Source organism: Homo sapiens, chromosome 3 (assembly GCF_000001405.40).
Source record: "Homo sapiens chromosome 3, GRCh38.p14 Primary Assembly".
Classification (NCBI taxonomy): Eukaryota; Metazoa; Chordata; class Mammalia; order Primates; family Hominidae; genus Homo; species Homo sapiens.
Genome location: NC_000003.12, coordinates 8388769 through 8413247, shown reverse-complemented (window position 1 = coordinate 8413247; position 24479 = coordinate 8388769). Strand labels below are relative to the sequence as shown.

General features: G+C 39.9%; 1 long non-coding RNA gene across 1 annotated transcript in view, besides 1 other annotated feature; it reads left to right on the top strand.

The window, feature by feature from the left end:
- The window catches only part of LMCD1-AS1 (LMCD1 antisense RNA 1), a 280512-nt gene that overhangs the window by 88411 nt on the left and 167622 nt on the right, over nt 1-24479 (top strand). The window lies entirely within an intron of this gene.
- Nucleotides 1164-1664: an enhancer, noted in NCBI's record as "H3K4me1 hESC enhancer chr3:8453270-8453770 (GRCh37/hg19 assembly coordinates)". NCBI's record gives its function as "activates a minimal SCP1, AML or CMV promoter by ChIP-STARR-seq in primed H9 embryonic stem cells {active_cell/tissue: H9 hESC(primed)}" and the evidence as "EXISTENCE:reporter gene assay evidence [ECO:0000049][PMID:30033119]".

Here is a 24479-nt window from a genome sequence, read left to right as displayed (position 1 = left end):
TCTTACCCCTCCTTTCACTTCCTTCTTCCCTTTCCTTCCCTCCTTTCTTCCTTTTTTTTTTTTTTTTCAACAAATATTTATTAAGTGCCTCTACAAGACAGACACTGATCTGGTCACAAAGGATAAAGCAGAGACTCAAACAATTCTTATTTCTTTGAACTTTACATTAAACAATAAACAAATAAGAATATATGCTAGATGGCAGTAAGTCTAACGAGCAGAATAAGCCAGAGAAGGGGGGTTAGGGAGTGCTGGGATGGCGTGGGGACAGGGTAGAAAGTATTGCTATTTTTAATGGGAGGTCAGAGAACTAAAGGACGTGGGGAGGAAACCACAGGAATATCTGGGGAAGAGTCTTCCAAGCAGAGGAACGGAGGATGCAGGGGCCTCAAGGCAAGTGTGGCCTGGTGTGTTTTAGGAAGCTCAGGGAGGGTGGTGTTATGCGGAGGGATAAGTGGGGGTGTGGGATGAGATGAGATGGGCAGAGGGGAATCATGAGGCCATCGGCTTTGACCCCAAGTGTGACAGGGGCCACTGAGGGGGAGTTTTTGCCCATGCTTTCACCCCAAGTGAGACAGGGGCTACTGAGGGGGAGTTTTCCCCCATGCTTTCACCCCAAGTGAGACAGGGGCCACCGAGGGGGAGTTTTCCCCCATGCTTTCACCCCAAGTGATACAGGGGCTACTGAGGGGGAGTTTTCCCCCATGCTTTCACCCCAAGTGAGACAGGGGCCACTGAGGGGGAGTTTTCCCCCATGCTTTCACCCCAAGTGAGACAGGGGCCACTGAGGGGGAGTTTTCCCCCATGCTTTCACCCCAAGTGAGACAGGGGCTACTGAGGGGGAGTTTTCCCCCATGCTTTCACCCCAAGTGATACAGGGGCTACTGAGGGGGAGTTTTCCCCCATGCTTTCACCCCAAGTGATACAGGGGCCACTGAGGGGGAGTTTTCCCCCATGCTTTCACCCCAAGTGATACAGGGGCTACCGAGGGGGATTTTTCCCCCATGCTTTCACCCCAAGTGAGACAGGGGCCACTGAGGGGGAGTTTTCCCCCATGCTTTCACCCCAAGTGAGACAGGGGCTACTGAGGGGGAGTTTTCCCCCATGCTTTCACCCCAAGTGAGACAGGGGCCACCGAGGGGGAGTTTTCCCCCATGCTTTCACCCCAAGTGAGACAGGGGCCACAGAGGGGGAGTTTTCCCCCATGCTTTCACCCCAAGTGAGACAGGGGCCACTGAGGGGGAGTTTTCCCCCATGCTTTCACCCCAATGTGAGACAGGGGCCACCGAGGGGGAGTTTTCCCCCATGCTTTCACCCCAAGTGAGACAGGGGCCACCGAGGGGGAGTTTTCCCCCATGCTTTCACCCCAAGTGAGACAGGGGCCACTGAGGGGGAGTTTTCCCCCATGCTTTCACCCCAAGTGAGACAGGGGCTACTGAGGGGGAGTTTTCGCCCATGCTTTCACCCCAAGTGATACAGGGGCCACTGAGGGGGAGTTTTCCCCCATGCTTTCACCCCAAGTGAGACAGGGGCTACTGAGGGCGAGTTTTTGCCCAGGCTTTCACTAGATTGCTCTGGCTGAGGTGCTGTGAAAAGAATGATGGAGACAATGGGTAGATGCAGGGAGGTCAGCTAGGGGGCTGTTGCAAAGATTCAGTTGGGAGACGATGAGGGATGGACCACCCTGGCAGTGGTAGGGAGCGGGGAGTAATTGCCTCTCTGTATCTTCAATACTGTTGTGTTGTTTTTGAGACAGGGTCTCACTCTGTCACCCAGGCTGGAGAGTAGTGGCGTGATCATAGCTCACTGCAGCCTCTATCTCCAGGGTGCAAATGATCCTCTCACCTCAACCTCCCAAATAGTTGGGACCATAGGCATGCACCGCCATGCCTGGCTATCTTTTTTTTTTTTAATAGAGAGGAGGTTTTGCTGTGTTGTCCAGGCTGGTCTGAAATTCCTGAGCTGAAGCCATCTTCTTGTCATGGCCTCCCAAACTTCTGGGATTACAGCAATGAGCCACCATGCCTCACCACCGGCTCTGTATGTCTGAAAAGTAGAGCCATTGGGGTCACTGATGAATTGGTAATATAAAAGAGAGATGAAAGAAAGACTTAGTGATTTCCGGGCTGCACCAAGTAGGAGAATGTAGCCCTTGACTTAGGTGGGGAAGATGTGTGCCAAGCAGGTTTTTGAAGTGGAGAAGCTTTTGAGGTTTGAGGGTGCTTCCAAGTTAGTGAACACATCCATGTGCTGGGAGGGTAGCTCATCCCAACTCCATGGGAACAAAAGCACCTGCATCTGGAACACTCCAAGACCTCACTATCTGGCTGTTCATTCGTATCCTTTATAATACACTGTAACAGTAAACATGGCACCGTCCTGAGTTCTGTGAGTTGTTCTAGCAAGTTATCAAACCTAAAGAGTGATTCTGGGAACCCCTGAACTTGTTGTCTGCTGGGCCAAAGTGAAGGTAGTCTGGGGACCCCATTTCCGGCCAGCATCTGCAGTGGGCCCAGTTTTGTAGGACAGAGTCCTTAACCTATGGGGTCTGTGCTTACTTGGAATAGTGTCAGAATTAAATTGAATTGTTGGACACCTTACTGGTGTCAGAGAATATGAGAATTTGTGTTGGAACGATGTATTTGGTGTCAGAAAAACACAGAGAGCCTAGTGAAGTACTTAGCTCACAGTAAAGTAAATAGGAGCTTATATTATTGTAATGCTGTTGCTTCCTGCCAAGGTGAAACGTGGAAGTGTGGGCACCTGTCCGCTGTCAGATATATGGATGTACTTGGGCTTCGTTTACTTCTCTTGAGAAGATTCCACTCCTTGAGAGCAACGTGTCTATGCTGAGCCTGTCACACGTCTGAAAACCTCACTGTGTGGCCAGTGCCTTGGATGCAGGGCAAATGATAAATGGGCCTTGTGCTGCCACCTTCCTGGCTGGGTTCAAAGGGAAAGCTGCCCCTCTGTGGTAGTGCCACCAGGTGAGAGGGAGGGCTGTGTCTGTGTAAATGCACACCCGTTTATCATACCAGATGTGGCAAGCTGCCAGTCCTGCATATATTTGTAAACAAAAGGATTTTGAAAGCAAGGCCCAATGGAGTAGGCAGGTATCATCAGCAAGGGCTATGACTTTTTGCTTTTTAGCCTGGTATAAATTATATAGGGTTACCTCTTAATCACACCCTGTGAACCCATTATGTTACTTAATCTTCACAAACACCCTTAAGAAAGTGGGGTGTTAGGATCACCAGGCATCCTGGTTTTCGTGTGCCAATCCCAGCCTATGCTTACTGTCCTGATGCAAGTATAGTCATGTGTCATGTAATGATGGGGATACCTTCTGAGAAATGCATCCTCATTAGGTGATTTCATTGTTGTGCGAACATCATAGAGTGTAGTTACACAAACCTTCGTGGTGTAGCTTACTACACCACACCTAGGCTAGATGGTATAACCTATTGCTCCTAGTCTATAAACCTGTACATCATGTGATTGTACTGGAGCATGTACCATGAATGGAGCTTGCAGGGCTGGAAGTTGCCCTGGGTGAGTCAGTGAGTGAGTGGTGAGTGAATTTGAAGGCCTAGGACACTACTGTGCACTACTAGAGACTTTACGGCCATTGTACACTTAGGCTACACTAAGTCTATAAAAAATATTTTTCTTTCTTCCATAATAAACTAATCTTAATTTATTGCAACTTTTTAACTTTATAAACTCTTTAATTTTTTCAACTTTCGGACTTTTTTGTAATAATACTTAAAACACAAACATATTGTACATCTGTACTAAAATATTTTCTTTATATCCTCATTCTATAAGCTTTTTTCTATTTTTAAATTAAAAATGTTTTTATCCTTTTAAAATTTTGTTTTAAAGTAAGACACAAGGATGCACATTTGTCTAGGCCGGTAGAGTCAGAATCATCAATATCACTGTCTTTCACCTCTACCTCTTACCCACTGGGAGGTCTCCAGGGGCAGTAAGACACATGGAGCTATCATCTCCTAGGATTGCAATGCCTTCTTCTGGAATGCCATTTGAAGGACCTGCCTGAGGCAGCTTTACAGTTGACTTTTTTTTTTTTTTAAATAAGTAGAAGGAGTATACTCTAAAATAACAATAAAAAGTAAGGGTAGTAGGTTTGCTTACAGATGTATCACCACAAACATGTGAGTAATGTGTTTCACTACAACGTCGCAAAGGCTGCTGTGTCACTAGGTGACTGGAATTTTTTAGCTTCATTATAATCTTATGGGATCACCATTGTATGTGCACTCCATAGTTAATCGACATGTCATTATGTGGTACATGACTGTCTTAGTAAAAGACACCTTTTTTCTTTCCAAAGTGCACTGGGTTGGACAATACATAATATGGTCACCTGAGATAATATCTTTATTTTGTGGAGGAGGAAACAGAAGTATAGAGAAGGTAAATTATTCGCCCAAGGTCACCTAGCAGGTGAGTGATGGAGCTGGATTTTAACCCAAGTTAGTCTCTGGCACCCAAGTCCTTCCTGCCAGAGTCTTCTGCTTGTCTGTACAGGGCAATGAGCACATCTCCCCACGGTTAGTCCCTCAGGGAACTAGAAACTCACTGGAGTGATGTGCTATTGTTTGGAACACTCTTGTTTGGAACCCCCTTAATTATTATTATTTTTAAGAACAATTTTGATATAAGCAAGTCTTGTTTCTTTGAGTATAGATTTCATTTTTGAAAAGACCCTAAACACTTTGAGAGCCAAGTCTTGTGAATAAGGTGGGAAATTATGCTGGGAGACACCAGTTTGGAGCCAAATCAAAGGCTGAGTTTGAATTGCTGGTGAATTGTTGTTTGTTTGTGTGGCTGATGAAATTGGTTTTGAAAAAGAATTCTCAAAGAAGCTGCAAATGTTTTGAACAGTGATGGTGTCATTTGATTTGGTTTAATTTCTCAAAGTAACTTATTTTTCTTTAAGTCTCATTTTATCATGCCTGTTAGATGTGACATATTATGTCTAGTCTTTTGTAGCTAAGCACATTTAGCTTAGAATGAGTGGATGGGCTTGCCTAGGTGGTTGAAATTCTTGGCTTTGAATGAAGAAAATCAATCAGTCCTTTCTACAAAACTCAGGTTTCTATTAGCTAAATTCTCAAGCTCCATGTTCTACCAAATGAATTCTGTGGGTTTGATTGTTCTATATTTTTAAAATAAAAAGTCTAGGTAACCTATATTTGTAGTACTTAATAATTGAGTGATAAAGTTTTGGATGGTCTATCTATTAAAAATAACCATTATAGATTTTATTTACACTTTTAAATTTATAAGACGTTAATAATTCTATTTTTTTCTATTTAAATTCAAAACAACCAAGGGAATGAAGTGAGTCAGGTATTATCATCCCATTTTACAGGTAAGAGGAGGAGCCTCTGATATTGTGTCTTGTTCAAGGTCACATAATTATCGTAATTATAAGTGGCAATGTCTGGACTTGAGGATGCCTGGGGTGTTTAATTCCTGATTTAACTTCCTTTCCATTGTAGTATATGCCTTTCTTCTTCATTGTTTTGTCCTCACAGGTTATTGACCGTTTTAGTTCTTTATTAGTTTTCTATGGCAACTGTAACAAATTGCAACAAACTTAGAGGCTCAAAAAATGTATTCTCTCACAAGTAATAATTTTGGCTTCCTTCCTTATGGAGGCAGTGGATTCAAACTAACTCTTATGGCACCCAATCAAGGCATTGGCAGGGCTGTACTCCCTCTGAAGCCCCTAGAGAAGAATTCATCCTTTCCTTTTCCAGTTCCTAGAGCTGCATTCATTGTATTCTTTGGTTCATGGCTTCCTTGTCCACTTTCAAGACCAGCAGTTGTAGCATCTTCAAATCTCTCTTTCTCTGTTTCATCTTCACATTGTCTTCTCCATGGTGAATCTGTCACTAACTCCTTTTTTAGTGTGATTGCATTTAGAGCCCGTTTGGATAATTCAGGATAATCTCTCCACCTCAAGGTCCTTAATTAACTATATCTGCAAACTCCTCCCTTTTTTGCCATATAAGAAAACGTTTACAAGTTGCAAGGATTCGAATGAGGATCGTTTGGGTTTTATTTGGCAGGGGGAATTATTCAGTTTACTACAGTCTACCCTTTGAGATTCACATCCTCAAAGATTCACATCCATTCCATACACAAAATGCATTCAACCAACATTCCCAGGTATCATCCCATTACAGCATCAACTCCAGTCCAAAACCTCGTCTAAATATCATCAGTTCAAAAGTACCAAATCTCATCATCTAAATCAGAAATAGGAAACACTCTCTATATGTTACATCATGAGGAAAATTTCCTCTCCTTCTGTGGACCTGTGAAACTAGAGGATATGTTCTCTGCTTCCAAGACACAATGGTGGGACAGGCATAGTGTAACAGCTATAGGCATTTCCATTGCAAAAAGGAGAATACGAAAGGGGAAAAGGAGTCATTGATTATGAACAATGGAAAATCCAGCAGGGCAAGTTCCACAGAGGCTTAGAAATAATCTGTCTTTGTCTTGTGGCTCTGCCTTCTCAGCCTGAGGCTCCACCCTGGGAGTCATTCTTCCTTTTGCTTGAGGTAGAACTGGTTGATAATAGTGTGAGCTTGTTTCCTACCTGTAGAATTTTGGGAGTCTTATAGGCTCTTTTCAGGTTGTTCTCTCTGTCCCTTTCAGTTCAATCTGGCTGTTTCTTCAGATATAACACTCTAAAAAGCCTGTGGGTCTCCCATGTATATTACAGGGATTCATGCCGTTAGATAAGGGAATCCTCCACAGATATTTTCTGGAGAATCTCATCTCTTTTCCTGGCTTCTACTGAGATAGCTAAGGGGATCTGTGAGTCACATGACTAATCTCTAACACAACCAAAATTTGTCCAGTTATACCCTTGACCATCCAGAACATGATTTCTCGACAGTGAATCTCCTAATTTTAGCATCTTTTGGAAGCTGGATAGGTTGAGAATTTCCCAAGTAATCAAGTCCTGGTACCTTTTTGCTCAACAGTTATTCTCTCATTTTATCTCTTTCCTTACATATTTTGCTATAATTGGCAAGAAGAAACCAGGCTGCATTTTTGACACCTTACTTGAAAATCTCCTGAGTTAAATATCCATGTTCACCACTTACAATTCATGTCTTCCACACAACTGTAGGGTGCAATTCAGTCTGGCAGTTGGCCACTACTTAACAAGGGCCACCTTACCTCCAGTTTCCAATAAGATGTTTCCCACGTCTGTCTGAGGCCTCAGCAACTGTGCCGTTAATGCTCATATTACTACCAACGGTCTACTGAAAGCAATCTAGGCTATTTTTTTTTTTATCATCAGTCTCAAAATTCTTTCAACCTCTACTCATTACTCAATTCTAAAGCTATTTCTACATTTTTAGAAATGTATTACAGCAGGTACCAAAATCTGTATTTATTTTCAATGGCTGCTATTACAAATTACCACACACTTGGTGCCTTAAACCAAATATATATGCAATATATATAATTATGTAACTATATTTTTATAAATTATAATTTTTATTATAAATTATATATAAATATAAATATATAATATATAATTTATAAATATGCTTAAAATATATAATCGATATTATTAAAAATATTAATAAGATAATAAGATAATGTCAATCATAAAATAGCAATAATATTGATAATATGTTATATATTATATACTATAATATATTATATATTATTATAATATTTATAAACACAATTATATTTATAAATATGTAATAATTATATAATTATAGGAATACATAATACATTATATAGCCTATAAATATAGAATGTATATTTATTAATATATAATTATATTTAATTAATATTTAATTAATATGCAATTTATATATATAAGTCTCACTGGACCAAAGTCTAGGGCTGCACTCCCTCCAGAGGTTCAAGGGTAAATTTGTTCCTCAGCTTTTCCAGCTTCTGGTGACTTTCAGTAGTTTCTGGCCTATAGCTGCATCACTCCAATCTCTCCTGTCATCGTCACGTTGCTTCTCTTCTCCTGTGCATGTGTGTGTCAGATACCCTTCTACCTCCCTTTTATAAGAATACATTTGCTTGCATTTAGGGCCCAGCCAGCTAATTCAGGATAACTTCCCATCTCAGAATCCCTAACTTAATCACATCTACACAGTTCATTTTTTGTCATATAAAGTAACATTCACAGGTTCTAGGGATTCAGGTGTGGATATCTCTTGTCGGGAATTATTCAGTTCACCACAGGTTTATTTTCCATGTGTTCATCTTGCCATGGTCACATGATATTCAAGAAGATCCATCATGTAGCAGTGGAGTACCCACGTGTTCGGTTGCTGTTACCTACGGATGTCTTGCTCCATTCTCTCAATCTCTTGTGGTATCAGACCCATGCTCTAGTCACAGAGTAGCGTAGGCTATCCTTGTCTGCCCTGACCATGGTGGTGGGTGCATGATCCAAGCCAGCCAATCAGAATTATTCCCTGAGATTTTCACAATGAAGTAGAGAGAGAAATTTTATAAAGATAGGAGACTGGAGCTGCCTTTCTGCATCATGTTCTTAAAACAGAGAGGCATTCACCTTGCAAATTTCTCCTTTTTTAACTCCTGAAATACATAAAATTTTCAGGGAGGAAAGTCTACTCCTCAGAGACACACAAGCCTGGCTACATGCCTAGGTGCAAGATGGTCAGGAGGTAAAGGTGGCAGTCTTGATGAGTCTGAGCCCACTGAGAAATTTTAATTTTTTCAACAGGCTATTTTGGCACATTCAATAAACAATTAATCACCTCTAAACCTGTATTCTCCTTCATAGCTACACAAAAGATACTTCCAATTCTAGTCATAGCGTGCACTGATTTTTGCTTCCTGCTGAACTCCACTAAAATAATAGAAAAGGAATTAAAATGTTATAAACCTACACAAGCAGTATAAGAGAGGAAACAATAGCAAATTAAATATCTCCACAAATGTTTGGAAGATGGAAAGCAGATGGATGAATGTTAACTGGGTTGGCAGAGCAAGAAAGCTGGAACAAAGTGCCTGGAGAGGGGAATCTCAGTGAGAAGCAAGCCAACTTTTACCACAGAATCCTAGAGAGACAAGAAAATTGGAGCCCAGAGATACCTCTAAAGACAGATATGAAGAATCAGCTCAGTAGTGGTTAGATCTCATATTATGGTTATCCACTTTTTAGTAGCTTTTCTATATTTAGGTTTATCTCAATTTATGGGTATTGCTTCCTTAATCCAAACTCTAATTCTCAGCTTCCCCTATAGCTAGACTACAGTCAAGCAATCTGGTTGTGCCAACCACGCACACACATAATTTTAATTCAGGTGTGAGCTGAGGAAAGAAGATCTGTGTGTGTTTCTATTTTTGAAGGAGAGAGCTCTCAGGATTTTTGTGGAAGCAATTGGCAAGTGCTTCTAAGGTTACATTTCTCATACAGAATTGTCATTGGTGATGGTGCTGGTCAGCACCGTGATAATCTACTTTAGTGCTCAGTAGGGCAGCAGAGTCTGTGTGAAGTTTTCTTCATCAGGATTTTTTGGTGGGATAAGTTTTGGGCATAGCTCTAGAAGCTTAGCCTGGAGCCTAGGTTTTTTTTTTTTTTTTGAGACAGAGTTTCGCTCTTGTTGCCCAGGCTGGAGTGCAATGGTGCAATCTCAGCTCACTGCAACCTCTGCCTCCTGGGTTCAAGCGATTCTCCTGCCTCAGCCTCCCGAGTAGCTGGGATTACAGGCTCCTGCCACCACGCCCAGCTAATTTTTTGTATTTTTAGTAGAGATGGCGTTTGACTATGTTGGCCAGACTGGTCTTGAACTCCTGACCTCAGGTGATCCACCCGCCTCGGCCTCCCAACTGGAGCCTAGTTTTTAAACCATCCTCAAAATTTAATGAACTACTCACCATTTAATTAACTGATTTCCCAGAGTCCATTTCTATTGACTGCAATTTAAAACAAACAAACAAACAAAAACCGCCAAGCCTCAAAACAACCCTATTATTACTGCATGTATAATAGATGGTTTTATACGATGTTCTTTCCCATACGACCAGATAATGGACTACTTCCTGCCCAACTACAGCATCTATAGAAAGGAAATTTGTCTCTGGAGAAACTCAACCAGAGGGGAACCAGATGGAGACATCAGGAGTAGAGGAGAGCAGGCTTCAGATATTAAAATAAAGAGACTTCTTAATCCTCTTCCCCTTCTCAATTCTTAGAGTTGAGCAGGCAGAGTTAAAGAGATTTTTCTTAGCAGAAATCAACCACTCTAACAGGAAAAATCCTCGAGTGAATTAGATAAGTATCTATCTTATCACCTTCCAGCAGAGCCATGCCTACTCACAGATAACTGCGAATCAGCTTTTTATTGCCTCTTTCTTAAATATTAATGGATAGGTCGGGATCACCAGACTTTTGAGAAAAGCTTCAATTCTCAAATGAGAACGACCAAAGCAAATACCAGAAGAAATTGAAATTGATGAATCTAGTGACAGTGAAGTGAGCAGAAGGCAACTTAATTAAAAACACTATAATATTTTCAGAAAGAATGAGAAGACATTTTGTCGATGAATCAAAATAAGATGCTATGTTTTAAAAAAAAAGCTGGAGAAAAAAGAGCTCTTGGAAATTAAAAATATGACAGCAGATAGTCAAATAAATAAGCAGAAGTTTGGAATTTGATGTTGAGGAATCTCCTAGAAAGTAGGACAAAGAACCAGACACAGAGAAGAGGAGAGAAATGATAAGAAAATCAGATAATCAATCCACTGGGTCCAACATCCAATCAAGAGAGACACAAAAGAGGAGGAATTTTAAAAATTGTATATACAGATACTGAGAACTGACGAACTTAAATTTCCAAATTGAAAATATTTCATGTGTATTCAGCGCATGTGTAGCCTGCACCAAGGCACATTGCTGTGGAATTTCAGGATACCAGAGAAGATGCTGAAAGTTTCCAGAGAAGAACCAACAATGTTACATAGGAAGGGATTAGGAATCACAATGAAATTCGACTTCTTAGCAGCAAGCTTCAAAGCAGGAAGTCAATGGAGCAATGTCTTCCAAGCTGAGGCAATTGTTTCTAACCTAGACATCAGTCTGCCTCCAAACTGTCAATCAAATGTAAAGGTAGGAGGCACACGTGGAATATAGGTGTCTCAAAACATTTACTTCTGGGAAGGAATGGGACGATTTGCTCCAGCAAGCAAGGGAAAACATCAAGAAAGAAATTTTGAGATCCTGGAGACAGGGGATCCATCCCTGAAAACAAAAAAAAAAATGCACAAAAGAATTCTTAGGACAATAATGGAGGGACTTCCTAGAATAACAACTGTTCCAGAGGCTCAGTGAATAGGAAGAAAGAACACTTTAGCTAAAATAAAAAAAAAGAAGGAAAAGAGCTTCAATGAGCAAATGAAGCATTGATAGATTTCTTAAGGAGTTGAACATTTTTGAGAGGTGTTTTCTAATTCCATCAGAGAGTCTGAGAAAAACCAGTGATACTTAGAAAAATAATTAGATGAAAAATAAAGGCAATCACTAACTTTAGGGAAAACAAACATTTGTATAAGAAAGGAAATGTTGTCAGAGTATTCTATTGGTTTCATCTGTGAATAATAGCAGTTTAAACAGTAACTCTTGATATAACCAACATTATGATAAAGCTGTATTATGAATAAGGTAGAAGTGAAATGTAGGTGGAAAGGGTAAAGGTATAGGCTGTAACAGTGCTAAAATTTTATTTTTCTGTAGAAGGAAATTAATAGAGAATTCTTAAAAAATCAAATACAAAGTAAAAAAATAAATATGTAGAAGCAAAAAGATAAATATTGGAAGAAGGTGCTAAAAGAATTGAAAATTCTTGGCTCTGCAGAGCAGGATTTAAGGGCAGAGTAGAGTACTGCTCCTTTGCATAATAAGCCTTATGAGATTGTTTGGGTGAGATTTTCTTTCAACTATGAACATGCATTACTTGATAAAAATTCAAAACCATCAAAACCTTGAAAATTTTCTTAGATAAACAGGAATTCTCATACTCTGTCAGTGGGAGTATAATTAGTGCAATCACTTCAGAAAACTGGCAGTATCTACTGAAGCTGACTGCACACACACTGTATGAACCAGCAAGCTTGGTTCCAACAGAAGTATGTACAGTTGTGTGCCAAAAGATGTACAAGTATGTGTTTAGCAGTACTATGCATGGTAGCTGGGGACTGGACAAAACAAAATGTGCATCTACAGTCCAGTGGGTATTTCATATTCGTGGAAGGGACCATGATATAGCAATGAAAATAAATCACTGCTACCTGCCACAATGTGGGTGAGTCTCACAAACATTGTGTTGAGCAAAAGAAATCAAACACAAAAGAGCGCGTGCTACAGGATCCTGTTGATATAAAGTTCGAAGCTAGGGAAAACTAACCTATGGTGACAGAAGTTAGGATGTTGATTACCTTGGGGAAGAGGTTGGGGAGGATAGAGACTGAGGGGCCTGAAGGGTGCTTCTGGGTCCTGGACAGTACTCAAATCTTGATCTGGCTACTGACACATGAGAATATTCACATTGTAAAGTTTCATCAAGCTGTACTCCATCAATTACACTCTTCTATATGTAAAATATATTAAAGTTCATTTAATAAACTTTTATTACTCTTTAAAAGTTTATTAGATAAAACACACATATTCCTACAAGAGCAGCTCAGCCCAAGGAGAAATGGCCATCTGGACCAGAGAGCCCACTGTGCTGGGAAAATTAGGGAATTATTCATGAATTTATGAAAATACATGTAAAAAATAACAGCCAGTTGAATGTGTTTATTTCTCAATTCTTGCCTTTTTACTTCGATTTAAGGATTTTGCAAATTTGTCATTTCTGTGTACATTCTAATTTAAGCTGCCTCAAGGCTTTTTTGGACATAATTAATAGTGACTTCAAAACAATTTGAAACATTGTAATGGCTGCAAGCTTCTTCTTCTGTTTCCGGGATGGTCTGCTCAGGATTTTAGGTGCAGTTCTGTTCAAAAGGTAACAGAACCGGAACACAGGATGAGTAAATACAGTCTAGTTAAACAAAACAAAACAAAACAAAACAAAACAAAAAACAGCACATAATTACTGGGTTTCATTGTGGGAGGAGGTGGGGCCAGAATTCTATTTTGCCCTTTCATGTTGTGGAAAGAATCTCAGTCCTTGAAATGATATAATGGATCAGTGATCTTGGTTGTTTCCAAAAGTGTTTAAGAAGAGGGGACATTCATCTTGGCTTTGACCTTTTACATTATTAGTATTAGAAGTCTTCATTGTGCAAGGCTTGGAAGGAGATGAGAGGGAACAAGTTTCCTTCTTCTGACCGTCACATCATCACACTACAAAAGCTCTTCAATTGCAGGCATTTGCCTTGCTATCTTGTTCCCAATCGAGGGAAAGCAAAAGGAGACACTCTTGAAAGTTCAGCCACTTACAACGAATTTCAATGGATACAATTGCAGAATACCTTTCAACAACCAAAGTTGGCTGGTAATTAGGCTCTCATACACCACAGATCTGTGCCTGCAGTCAGCAACCTGCAAGAGAAGCCCTTCTCATGAAATAGCCAAGATGGGGGTATCCTGGGCGGGGGCAAGGGAGCACTGATGGGCATTGCCAGGGATTCTTCAGAACACAGAACAGAACTCGGCTACCATCAGCTGCATTTGAGTTCCTCCTTTTCCCGCAAAGACTGATAATTATACTGGGGGCAAGTGCAGCTGTTTAATAAGATGAAGGATTACGTAAAATGGTAGCAATTGTCCATTTAAATGCCCGTGATTATCATTGGCCTTACGATAGATATAGTATCTTGTAATATATTTACTATGTATAAAAACTATAATTATATACAGTAAAAACATATGCAATACATAATTATAATACTATAATACTTAAAAAGAGGTAATTTGTGGAATAAAGAGACTTGGATTCACACCCCTGGTTTTATTATGTTGGTGCAAAATAATCATGGTTTTTGCCATGAAAAGTAACTTTTGCACCAACCTACTAACAAGCTGTGTGAATTTGGACCACTTTCTCGCTTCCTCTTTGCCCTCATTGCTACCTCTGCTACATGAAGGTAATTTGTGTCTGCACTGAAAGTATTGTTAGGACCAGCACATAGTAGGTGCTTACTAGATACAAGGGATTTTCCCTCTTCTTGCCCTGTAAAGTTATCTTTTGAACAAATCATAAAAGAGTTACTCTCTGTCCAAATTCACGTTTTGGAAAAGCTGGAATAGGGATTTATGCCTCTGTGCTTCCAACTCTAGCAAAGAGAGCCACTGGAGTCATCTCTTAAAACTGCACCTCCGATCTTGTCACTCCCAGGCTTACAGCGCTTCTTTTGTCTCCCTTAGCAATGGGATAAAATCCAAGATTTTGTTGTAATCTACACAGCTCTTCCTGGTCTGGCTCCTGCCTGCTTCTCTAATGCCATCTCCAAACGTTTAGATTTTCTCCTTATGTTGAGACCACATCAGCTGCCTCTCTGGTCCTTAAAGATGCCAACTTGCTCATGCCTCAGTGATGTGAACTTGATGTTCCTCCTGTCTGTATGGCTTCCTTTGCCTCTTGGCATGGCTGGCTCCTGATCAGCCTCCAAGTGTCCACTTGTCCTGCATTTCCCAGAAAAAGGATCCTGAGATAGAGTTTCACATGAAGGATGTCCATTGTGAAGGGCTGTTGGACTCAACTCCTGTGGAAGGAAGGGGAATGGAGCAGGAGTGGGCACAGGGAGAAGTGGAACAATGGAGCCTATTGCCGCATTGGCCCTACAGGGACCCCTGGAGCTGGAAGGGTCTTTCAGAGTTGCTGCCAACTGGTGCTGTGGCCAGGCCTTTGTACTCTTTTATTGATCAGTCTTAAGTGGGGACCCCTCTCCTGCCAAGAAGGATGTGACCTTGGGGAGGTGACTCTCGTCAAGGCAATCCCTAGTAGGACTGATAACTGAAGGCCAAGTGTTGACAGTACTCCCAGGGGCTAGGGCACAAAAATGCCAAGTGTTGACAGTTCTCCCAGGGGCTAGGGCACAAATACTTCTTGAAGAGGATCTGGGGCAGCATGGCAGCATCCACCACACAGCCTTCTCTGACCATCTGGTGTCTGTCCTGACGTTTTCTATCTGAATATGCTGATTATATCTTTATTTTCTTATTGTTTTCCCCACTGGGCTGTGAGCTCCACGAGGATAAAGATTATGTTTATCTTTTTCCCTGTTGTACCAACAGTTCATTGCATAGGGCTTAGTATGGTAGGCACTTAATATATATTTCCTGAATGAATGAATGAATAAGAAATGTTTAATGATAACCAACCTTGCAGGTTGCTGACTCAGATACAAACCGACGGCGTGCAGGAGTTCAATTCCATCCAACTTTGGCTGTTTCACATATTTTGCAATTCTACCCATTGGCTGAACTTTCTAGAAAGTTGTCAAGACACACACATTTGTCTGTGTCTTAAAGTAATGCTGAACTTACAAAAGAAGGGTCATGTCTGCCCAGTCTCTCTGCCATTTATTCTTGGATAAGATTATGATCAAAATCAACTCTGTGTTCTTTTTTTTTCAACTTTTAAGTTTAGGGGTACATGTGCAGGTTTGTTACATGGGTAAACTTGTGTCATGGGTGTTCTTAATACTTAGATATTTATGAATGAGAGAAGAATGCCTGGTGAAATGGCCATAAGAGTGATAACTCTGGAGACAACCTGCTCCTTGCCTCCAGGAGCAAGCAAGATGTAACAGAGACAGCCCTGACCAGGTTAAAGGACTCAAGGACACTTGCAGTTCCAAAGCAGAGTGTCTTCAGTGAGCTCAGGACAATTAAGCCTCATTCCCAGATACTGTTTTCTCTTCCCTGCTGCCTCATTCAATATGGATACTTAGAACCCAAATATAGTCACGTGTCTCTTAACGACATGGATATGTTCTGAGGCGATTTTGTTGTTGTGCAAACATCATAGAGTGCACTTACACAAATGTAGGTGATATAGCCTACTACACACCTGGGCTGTGTGGTGTAGCCTGTTGCTCCTAGCCTACAAACCTGTGCAGCATGTTACTGTACTGAATACTGTAGGCAATTGGAACACAATGCTAACTATTTGCATATCTAAACATAGAAAAGGCACGTCAAAATACGATATAAAAGATTAAAAATGTCACACCTGTATAGGGCAGTTACCAATGAAGTTCACAGGACTGGAAGTTGCTCTGGGTGAGCCATGAGTGGTGAGTGAATGGGAGGGCCTAGGACATTAATGTGCACAACTGTAGGCTTTATAAACATGGCACACTTAGGCTACACTAAATTTATGTAAAAAAATCTTTCTTTCTTCAATAATAAATTAGCCTTCGCTTTCTGTAAGTTTTAACTTCATAAGGTTTTAAATTTTTAAATTTTTGACTGTTTTGTAATAACACGTAGCTTAAAACACAAACACATCACACAGTCATACAAAATATTTCTTCTTTATATTCTTATTCTATAAGCTTTTTCTATTTTCAATAAAAAATATATATATTTATCAATTTTAAAATTTAAAAAGTATTCATAAATTAAAGTCTAACAGCTACACGATATGTTTTATTACAGGCATGGACTGATTTATTTCCACATTTCTTTATTGACAGATATTTAGGTTGTAACTCCAATGAATTTGTTATACATAGAGCCTTTGCTACAGTTTAGGTTATTACCTTAGAGTTGTTACAAGTTGAATAATGGGGAAAAGAAGTGAACATAGTAATTTATTTTATGTATTTCTTTTTACTTATTTCTTCTTACTTAATATGCTAAATTACTTTACAAAATAGGGCTTCCAATTTTCTGACTCACAGTGGGTCGTGGAAATGCCTGTCTCACTGCACTATTTTAAATATTCTTATTTCTAAAAGTGAATTTAATAAATACAAATGTTAACATTTTATTGTTTTAAGTTTCATTTATTTTATTACTACTGAGCTTGCCAATTTTTTTTTGTGTTTTATGAGTTTTCTATTCATCTCGTTTGCCTATTTATTTTAGGGATGTTGATTAAAAAAAATTTTTTTTCTTTCCATATAGTCTTTCTTAAAATTTTTTTATTTCAATAGCTTTAGAGGTCCAAGAGGTTTTTGGTTATGTGGATGAATTGAACAGTGGTGAAGTCTAGAACTGTAGTGCACCCATCACCCAAGTACTGTGCCTAGTACCCAACAGGTAGTTTTTCATCCCTCACCCCCCTCTCACTCTCCCCACTTCTGAGTCTCCAGTGTTATTATGCCACTCTGTATGCCTTTGCTGTATACCCATAGCTTAGCTCCCACTTAAAAGTGAGAATATATGATATTTGGTTTTTGATTCCTGAGTTACTTCATTTAGAATAATGGCCTTCAGTTCCATCCAAGTTGTTGCAAAAGACATTATTTCATTCTTTTTTATGGCTGAGTAGTATTCTATGGTATATATACTGTATTTTCTTTATTCACTCATTGGTTGATGGGCACAGAAACACACACATTACCCTAGGTCTACCCAGAGTCAAGATCATCGAAATGCCATTAAGTGTTAGGAATATTTCAGCTCCATTAAAATCCTATAGAGCCATATGTGGTCATCGTTGACTGAAATGTCTTATGTGGTGACTGACCATAGTTTAAAACCCATCAGGAAAAAGAAAAAGAAAGTACCATAAGGATTGAATTGTGTTCATGAATCTGGGTTGTAAACAGTAGTTCTCCTGCTCCTGTGGCAAGCTAGAAAGTACCTCAGGGCAACGCTCCATTGTGTTGCATCTCTCTGGTTTATCATGGGCCAAAAAGTAGCTTTGCAGATGGCTTCATACTCTTTGCTGCAGGCCAGGAAACATTTACTTTGCATGCATTTACTAATTCAGACTTATTTTTTTTTTATTTCAATAGCTTTTGGAATATAGGTGTTTTTTTTTTGTTACGTGGATGAATTATATAGCAGTGAATTCTGAGATTTTAGTGCACCCATCACCCGAGTAGTGTACGGTACCTAGTGTGGAGTTTTTTATCCCTAGCCCCACTCTCAGCCTTCACTTTCTGAGTCTTTAAAGTCCACTATATCTTTCTTATGCCTTTATGTCCTCATAGCTTAGCTCCCACTTATAAGTGAGAACATAGAGTTTTTGGTTTTCCACTCCTACTTACCTCACGTAGAATTATGGCCTCTAGCTCCATCCAAGTTGCTGCAAAAGACATTATTTTATTCCTTTTAATGGCTGAGTAGTATTCCCTGTTGTATATGTACCACATTTTCTTTACTCATTAGTCAGTGGGCACTTAGGTTGCTTTGACGTTTTTGCAATTGTGAATTGTGCTACTATAAACACACACATACAAGTGTCTTTTTCATATAATGACTTTTCTTTTGGGTAGATACCCAGTGGTGGGATTGCTGGATTGAATGGTAGATCTACTTTTGGCTCTTTCAGGAATCTTCATACTAATTAGTATATTAGAGTTTGTAGTAATTTACATTCCCACCAGCCATGTATAAGTGTTCCCTTTTCCCCAATCCATGCCAACAACTATTGTTTTTTTGACTCTTTAATAATGGCCATTCTTCCAGGACCAAGGTGGTATCTCATTGTGGTTTTAATCTGCATTTCTCCGATAATAGTGATGTTGAGCATTTTTTCATATGTTTATTGGCCATTTGTATATCTTCTTTTGAGAAATGTCTACTCATATCTTCTGCCCGCTTTTAAACAAAACTGTTTTTTTTTTTTTCTTGGTGATTTGTTTGAGTTCCTTGTAGATTCTGTATACTAGTCCTTTTTGGGATGTGTAGTTTGCAAATATTTTCTCCCATTCTGTGGGTTGGCTTTTTACTCTGATGATTTTTTTTTTTTTTCTGTGCAGAAGGTTTTCAGTTTAATTAGGTTTCATGTATTTATTTTTGGTTTTGTTTAGACTTTTATATTTATTAATCAACTCTTTCATTGGGAAAAAAGAGTTACCTTGATGATGCTCAGGGCAGGGAGGGCTGGTCAATAGTTTTGTTGGAGCTAGATGTGGTAGACTGTGCCTTCAGTTCCAGCTAATTGGGAGGCTGAGGTGGAAGGATCCCTTGAGCCCAGGAATTCAAGGCTACAGTGAGCTACTGCACGGCACTGAAGCCTGGGTGGCAGAGCCTGACTCTGCCTATCAAAAAAAAAAAAAAAAAGAAGAAAAGTTTGGTGGGTTCGTAGTATTTTTTTTTAAATTTTAGTTCATATTCGAACAACAGAGGAGACAAGGGGACACAGGTAAAGTTTGCCTGTAAGGTTAAGGAGTATTTTGTTTTTCATTCATACAGTTAACTACAGAATATTAAGACGTGGTCAAGAGTGACTGTATATTGGGAGAAAAACGGGAGGGTCTGGACAAGAATGTTGAGTGGCCACCTTGAGGGCACAGGCTAGGCAGGGTAAATATGAATTTATGAATGATTTTATTTTCTTTTGTTTTTCTATTTTGTCAAGTTTTCTGCTTTGTGTATATATTACAATTGTGATCACTAACAAAGCTCTTACTAAAATAGATGCAGTTTTGTTGAACTACTTTGAAGACAGAGGTCAAAGAAAGAATTTTTTGGTGAATCTAAGTTGTTTTATTTAAAAAAAAGAAAGTTCTCCCAGTATGCATTTACTTAGTGCCTGCCTTTTGCACTGCAAGAAGCAGTCATTTTTTTCTTGAAATCATCATTATTTAATACTTTTCCTGGTGGATAAAAAGATGCAGAACCAAAGAGCACACCCAGTTTAAGGCTCATACTTGTATAGCCCTCTAGGAGTGTGTTAATCCTTTTGCATTGCTATAAAGAAGTACCTGAAACTGGGTAATTTGTAAAGAAAAAGGGGTTATTTTGCTCATGGTTCTGCAGGCTGTACAGGAATCATTGTGCCAGCATCTGATTCTGGTGAGGGCCTCACGAAGCTTCTTCTCATGGCGAAAGGCAAAGGGGGAGCAAGTACATCACATGGTGAGAGACGGAGCAAGAGACAGTGGGGGTGATCTCAGACTCCTTTAAACAATCAGAACTCACAGTAACTTATTACCACAGCGAGGGCACCAAGTCATTTATGAGGGATCCACCCCCATGACACAAACACCTCCCACTAAGCCCCACTTCCAACATTGGGAATCACATTTCACCATGAGAATTGGAGGGGACAAACATCCAAGCCACACCAGGGAGGGAGGCTGTGTTTAGGTGAAGCACACTCAGCCACCCGGGGAGAAGCTGGTAGAAGGGAAATGCCTCCGGATACTTGAGTTCAAGTCATCATCTACTGTGTCCTCTTCCATAAGAAGCTTGACCACTCCGAGCCTCACTTTCCTCATCTACAAAATTAGTGCCATGACATCGGCCCTCCAGGTTGCTGTGGAGCTCAGTAATAACCTATGACAGGCCAGCAATTGTGCCAGGGTCTTGCATAGCTCTTTCCATTTAAATGTGGGAATGAATGTGGGATAATCTATAGGAAATTATGTAAGTGAAAGAGTTTGGTAAACTGTAAAAGGCTGTAATAAGTAGAAGTTCCTTTTATGACCTGAGTCTCAAGGGTGTTCTTGCCTCATGGAAACTGTTGTTGCAGCTTTTGAGACCAGCTGACAGTAAATGGTATCACTTAATGAGAATGAGGAGGCATGCATTTTAAAAGAGACATTCACTTTGGGGTTTATTGTTTAAAGTAACTAAAGCTTGACTTTTTTTTTTCCCTATTCAATCAGGAGTTTTTTTAAAAAATTTATTTATTTAGTTTTATTATTATTATACTTTAAGTTTTAGGGTACATGTGCACAATGTACAGGTTAGTTACATATGTATACGTGTGCCATGCTGGTGTGCTGCACCCATTAACTTGTCGTTTAGCATTAGGTATATCTCCTTATGCTATCCCTCCCACCTCCCCCCACCCCACAACAGTCCCCAGAGTGTGATGTTCCCCTTCCTGTGTCCATGTGTTCTCATTGTTCAATTCCCATCTATGAGTGAGAACATGCGGTGTTTGGTTTTTTGTTCTTGCGATAGTTTACTGAGAATGATGATTTCCAATTTCATCCATGTCCCTACAAAGGACATGAACTCATCATTTTTTATGGCTGCATAGTATTCCATGGTGTATATGTGCCACATTTTCTTAATCCAGTCTATCATTGTTGGACATGTGGGTTGGTTCCAAGTCTTTGCTATTGTGAATAGTGCCGCAATAAACATACGAGTGCATGTGTCTTTATAGCAGCATGATTTATAGTCCTTTGGGTATATACCCAGTAATGGGATGGCTGGGTCAAATGGTATTTCTAGTTCTAGATCCCTGAGGAATCGCCACACTGACTTCCACAATGGTTGAACTGGTTTACAGTCCCACCAACAGTGTAAAAGTGTTCCTATTTCTCCACATCCTCTCCAGCACCTGTTGTTTCCTGACTTTTTAATGATTGCCATTCTAACTGCTGTGAGATGGTATCTCATTGTGGTTTTGATTTGCATTTCTCTGATGGCCAGTGATGATGAGCATTTTTTCATGTGTCTTTTGGCTGCATAAATGTCTTCTTTTGAGAAGTGTCTGTTCATATCCTTTGCCCACTTTTTGATGGAGTTATTTGTTTTTTTCTTGTAAATTTGTTGGAGTTCATTGTAGATTCTGGATATTAGCCCTTTGTCAGATGAGTAGGTTGCGAAAATTTTCTCCCATTTTGTAGATTGCCTGTTCACTCTGCTGGTAGTTTCTTTTGCTGTGCAGAAACTCTTTAGTTTAATTAGATCCCATTTGTCAATTTTGTCTTTTGTTGCCATTGCTTTTGGTGTTTTAGACATGAAGTCCTTGCCCATGCCTATGTCCTGAATGGTAATGCCTAGGTTTTCTTCTAGGGTTTTTATGATTTTAGGTCTAATGTTTAAGTCTTTAATCCATCGTGAATTAATTTTTGTATAAGGTGTAAGGAAGGGATCCAGTTTCAGCTTTCTGCATATGGCTAGCCAGTTTTCCCAGCACCATTTATTAAATAGGGAATCCTTTCCCCATTGCTTGTTTTTCTCAGGTTTGTCAAAGATCAGATAGTTGTAGATATGTGGCATTATTTCTGAGGGCTCTGTCCTGTTCCATTGATCTATATCTCTGTTTTGGTACCAGTACCATGCTGTTTTGGTTACTGTAGCCTTGTAGTATAGTTTGAAGTCAGGTAGCGTGATGCCTCCGGCTTTGTTCTTTTGGCTTAGGATTGACTTGGCGATGCGGGCTCTTTTTTGGTTCCATATGAACTTTAAAGTAGTTTTTTCCAATTCTGTGAAGAAAGTCATTGGTAGCTTGATGGGGATGGCATTGAATCTATAAATTACCTTGGGCAGTATGGCCATTTTCACGATATTGATTCTTCCTACCCATGAGCATGGAATGTTCTTCCATTTGTTTGTATCCTCTTTTATTTCATTGAGCAGTGGTTTGTAGTTCTCCTTGAAGAGGTCCTTCACATCCCTTGTAAGTTGGATTCCTAAGTATTTTATTCTCTTTGAAGCAATTGTGAATGGGAGTTCACTCATGATTTGGCTCTCCGTTTGTCTGTTATTGGTGTATAAGAATGCTTGTGATTTTTGTACATTGATTTTGTATCCCGAGACTTTGCTGAAGTTGCTTTTCAGCTTAAGGAGATTTTGGGCTGAGACAATGGGGTTTTCTAGATATACAATCATGTCGTCTGCAAACAGGGACAATTTGACTTCCTCTTTTCCTAATTGAATGCCCTTTATTTCCTTCTCCTGCCTAATTGCCCTGGCCAGAACTTCCAACACTATGTTGAATAGGAGTGGTGAGACTTTAAATCACCACATTAAGAAATAATAGATCCTTGATTGTAATTTTTATTAGTTTTTGAACCTGTTTCCCATCCAGAGAAGAGGGCTATGGTACCATTTCCTATTCCCTTCTCTGTTAGGGGTTCTCTGATATGACTTAAGGGCCTTAGGAAATTGCACACAATTTTCATCTGAAATTTAAAACCTTGATTTCCCTGTTGATTTGAGGTGTGCTAACCCCTGGCATTTATTTTCCTTTCCTCTCTTCCCTGTTCCCTCAGTTAACAGAGTTAACAATCCTGCTACCCAGAAGCAGTCACTGCTAGTATTTTGGTGTACCTATTGCTTATTTAATTCACATGTATTCCCAGGTACACATGCACAATATGTTGGCATTGGGTTTCGCAGTATATATTTGAGTAGTCAAAGTTTTGCCATAAATTTTATATCTTGAACATTTTATTATATCTTTAAATACTCTTCAACAATATGATTTTTTGTGATTGTGGGATTTTCTATCCATATGAACATACTGTAAGTTTTAAACTAAGGTCATATTGTTAGACATTTAACTTTCCAACTTTTCACTATCATAAATAATGCTACAATGAATATTCTAGTATGGAAATATCTGTAGATACATCAATGAAAATATTGAGTCAAAGGGCAAGGATATTAGAACACTTCTTACTACTTACTCCAAATAGCCTTCTAGAAACAATGAACGCCTTTGTCTCAATCAGCTGTAATGAGTATATCTGTTTCATCAAATTCGCCTTTAAAAACACTTCTCAATTTGTTGTGAAAAATACTACCTTAAAAATCCCCTCCAAACCCCACAATCCCAGTGAGGCTGCACATTTTTCATGGGTTTTATAGCTACATTATATCACATGCCTCCCATCTTCTCTCTTCTCCTGGCCCTGGGGGGTGACCTATGAGAAGCACATCAAGGGGGTCCCAGGCCTGTGGCTTCTGGTTGGCTTCACCCAGTGGGGAGCCCCAGCAGAAGATGGGGTTAGGGAAGGGAGGAGAGAGAGGTCCTTTGGTTCCTTCCCTCCCTGTGTGGTCACTTGTGACACAGAGCCCCGGTCCTTCCGAGGTAGCTCTCTCCACACAACTATCTCTCCTTCTGTGTTCTGGGACCTACTCTCTCCTTTGTCCATTTGTGCCTAGATATCCAGACAGCTCCACTATTGCTAGTCTAGGTTCCTGCAATATCCCTTGAAGTTTGAAATGAATCTCTTTGTGGAGAAACCCTTCTTGAATTGATTTTGATGTTGCATCTGTTTCCTGTTGGGACCCTGACTGATAAACATGATCTTATTAGCACTTGCAGCAGACTGCTCATATTAATGGGTCATCGCCCCTAGCCCACAAGTCATGAAGTTTATGCCCAGGGAGATGAGTGCCTAAACTCTACTGATTTCTCTGGGATATGCTGACAGAAGGATGGAGGTCTGAGAGGTTTTATTACCAGGGGATTTTCAGGAAAGGTAATTTCTAGCAATGAAATATAACCCACTGCCCAAGAAGCATCAATAATGCTTTGCTTGGTCATCAGTAATAGAGTCTTCCAGATGCTTCCTCTCTTTTATGTAGCTGGAGCACATAGAAGAAA